Source organism: Homo sapiens, chromosome 15 (genome assembly GCF_000001405.40).
Source record: "Homo sapiens chromosome 15, GRCh38.p14 Primary Assembly".
In the NCBI taxonomy this organism is placed as follows: Eukaryota; Metazoa; Chordata; class Mammalia; order Primates; family Hominidae; genus Homo; species Homo sapiens.
This window is the reverse complement of record NC_000015.10, coordinates 56,845,078-56,848,512: the sequence shown is the minus strand read 5'-3', so window position 1 is coordinate 56,848,512 and position 3,435 is coordinate 56,845,078. Positions and strand designations below refer to the sequence as shown.

Genomic DNA, 3,435 nt, shown 5'->3' with positions numbered 1-3,435 from the left:
CCCACCTGAGCCTGTCAAGCAGTTGGGAGTACAGGTACATGCAACCACCCTTGGCTAATTGTGTGTGTGTGTGTGTGTGGGCGTGTGTGTGTGTGCACGCGTGTATGTGTGTGTAGAGACAGGGTCTAACTGTGTTGCCCAGGCTGGTCTTGAACTGCTATGTTGCCCAGGCTGGTCTTGAACTCCTGGCCTCAAGTGATCCTCCTGCTGTGGCCTCCCAAAGTGCTGGGATCACAAGTGCGAGGCACTATGCCCAGCCTTCTCCTCCTCTTATAAGCACACCAGTCATATTGATTTAGGGCCCATCCTAATGACCTCATCTTAATTTGATTATGTGTGCAAAGACCCTATTCCCAAATAAGGTCACATTCACAGGTGCTGGGTGTTAGGACTTTAATATATCTTTTAGAGGGACATAATTTAACCCAAATACCATCCTTTCACTCAAACGATTTGTGTCTTTGGATCTAAACTCAGTCTCTTGTGGATAGCATATAGTTGCCTCATTTTTAAAAACACACTGTGCTGGGGCCGGGCACAGTGGCTCACACCTGTAATCCCAGCACTTTGGGAGGCCGAGGTGGGTGGATCACAAGGTCAAGAGATCGAAATAATCCTGGCCAACATGGTGAAATCCCATCTCTACTAAAAATACAAAAATTAGCTGGGCGTGGTGGTGTGCGCCTGTAGTTCCAGCTATTCGGGAGGCTGAGGCAGAAGAATCGCTTGAACTCGGGAGGCAGAGATTGCAGTGAGCCGAGACTGCACCACTGCACTCCAGCCTGGTGACAGAGCGAGACTCCATCTCAAAAAACAAACAAACAAACAAACAAAAAACCAAAAACATATCGTGCTAATTTTTCTGCCTTTTGATTTGAAAGTTTAATCTATTTACATAAAGTAATAACTGATAAGAAAGTACTACTTATGCCATTTTGCTCTTTGTTTTCTGTATGTCTTTTAAAAAAATTCTTAACCTTTGTGTAAATACTACCAGAGCAAGACTTTTCTAAAATGTCAAAAAACAACAGGTGTTGGTGAGGATGCAGAGAAAAGGGAAACTCATACACTGCTGATGGGAATGCAAACCAGTACAACTTCTATGGAAAACGATATGGAGACTCTCAAAGAACTAAAAGCAGAACCATCATTCCGTCCAGCAATCCCACCACTGGTCATCTACCCAAAGGTAAATAAATAATTGTATCAAAGACACACCCGCACCCATAGGTTTATCACAGCACTATTCCCAATAGCAAAGATATGGAATCAACCTAAGTGTCTATCCACAGATGATTGGACAAAGAAAATATGGTATATGTATACCATGGAATACCACTCAGCCATTAAGAAAAAGAATGAAATCATGTTTTTTGTAGCAACATGGTTGGAACTGGAGGCCGTTATCTTCAGTGAAATAACTCCGAAATGGAAAGTCAAATACCACATGTTCTCACCCATAAGTGGGAGCCAAACAATGTGTACACATGGACATGGAGTGTGGAACAATAGACACTGGAGACTTGGAAAGGTGGGAGGGTTCGAGGGGGGTAAGGAATGTACAATTGTACCTTTTGGGCACAATTGTAGACTATCTGGGTGATGGGGACACTGAAAGCCCAGACTTCACCACTACATGATACGTTCATGCAACAAAACTGCACTTGTACCCCCTAAATCTATAAAAATAAAAAAAATACTTTTCTAAAAGAACTTTTAAAGACACCTGGTTTAAGCAAGTACAATTTAGTTAACTATGCAGTTTTAGCATACTACTAATTAAGTATAATTCATAATAATAGCAAAAATATACATGATACCTAGAGTTAACAGCGTTAACTCTAAATGTTTGGTCATGATACCATTATGAAGGCTTCAAAAAGGAAAATTTATCATATGCTTTATTCTAAATTCCATATTTTTCTATCAGCTCTTCGGCTTTAGAAATAAAGGCACGCATCATATCTTCCTCTGACAATCCTTTTTGGGGGTTCTGTGCTTCCCATTTGGCCTTGCCTTTTAATTCTAGCATTTCTGAACACTCAATATTAATGTTTCCAATTACAGCTTGTTTGTAAAGCCCATAAAGTTCTTTCAGTTCTTCATCATCTGGTCTTGTTTTCAGCTTCCTCACATCTTCTGTGACCATGTCAAAATCAGCCTGCAGGGACATGGTGGCGGCAGCTGGGCTGTTGCTGCTCTCCAGGCACTCCTTCTGTATGTCTTATACCATTTTTGTTCCTCATTTCCTCCATTACTGCCTTCTTTTGTATTCCATTGATTTTTTTTTTGTAGTGTATCATTTAATACCCTTCTAATTTTCTTGACCTTTTTTTAGAGACAGGTTCTTGCTCTGTTGCCCAGGCTGCAGTGCAGTGGCATGATCATGGCTTACTGCAGCCTCAAACTCCTCTATTTTCTTATCAGTATGTTGAAAATTTATTTTATCCTGGCTAACGCAGTGAAACCCTGTCTCTACTAAAAATGAAAAAAAAAAAAAAAATAGCCGGGCGTGGTGGCGTGTGCCTGTAGTCCCAGCTACTCGGGAGGCTGAGGCAGGAGAATGGCGTGAACCCAGGAAGCGGAGCTTGCAGTGAGCCAAGATCGTGCCACTGCACTCCAGCCTGGGCGACAGAGTGAGACTCCGTCTCAAAAAATAAATAAAAATTAAAATTAAAAAAATTTTAAGTGGTTACCACAGAGGTTACAATCAACTTCATAAATTTATAACAACCTAGTTTAAATTGATCCAAATTTAGCTTTGATAGCATACAAAAATCTCTGCTCTATAGCTCTATACAGCGCTGCCCATACTTTATGTTGTGATTGTCACAAATTATATCTTTATATGTTGTGTGCCCATTAACAAAAATATATAAGATTTTTTCTTACTTTTTTTGTTATTTAAGCACCAAGCACAGGAGAAGCAAGGATACAAGAATTTTTATGTATTTATCTCCTAAATCATGTGGGAAATAAAAAAAGGAGTTATAAACTAAAAATACAATAACACTGAGTTTTATATTTATTTATATAGTTACCTTTACTGGAGTTCTTTATATGGCTTCTTCATATGGTTTCCAATTTTTGTCTTCATTTCAGCCTAAAGGAATCTCATTTAGTATATTTTTGTAGAGCAGTTTCACTAGGAACAAACTTTCTTAGCTTTTGTTTATCTGGAAATATCTTAATTTCTCTCTCCTTTTTGAAGGACAGTTTTGTGTTTCTGGATTCTTGGTTGACATAAAAGAAAAAGAGAAGGGGGGAGAGGAGGAAAAGGGCCAGGGAGAGATTGAGAGAGAGAGAGAAAGAAAAGGGAAAAAAGGAAGAAAAGATATCTCTTAGTCAGCTCTGTATTGGAGCACTCCTTCAATGTTTAGACAGGCTGTTTATAGCTCTGCTGTAGCCTTCATTTCCTGCTTGCATTGAACCTAG

At 39.6% G+C, this 3,435-nt stretch overlaps 1 pseudogene; it reads right to left on the bottom strand.

The window, feature by feature from the left end:
* On the bottom strand, window positions 1,701-2,200 carry NREPP1 (NREP pseudogene 1; annotated as a pseudogene).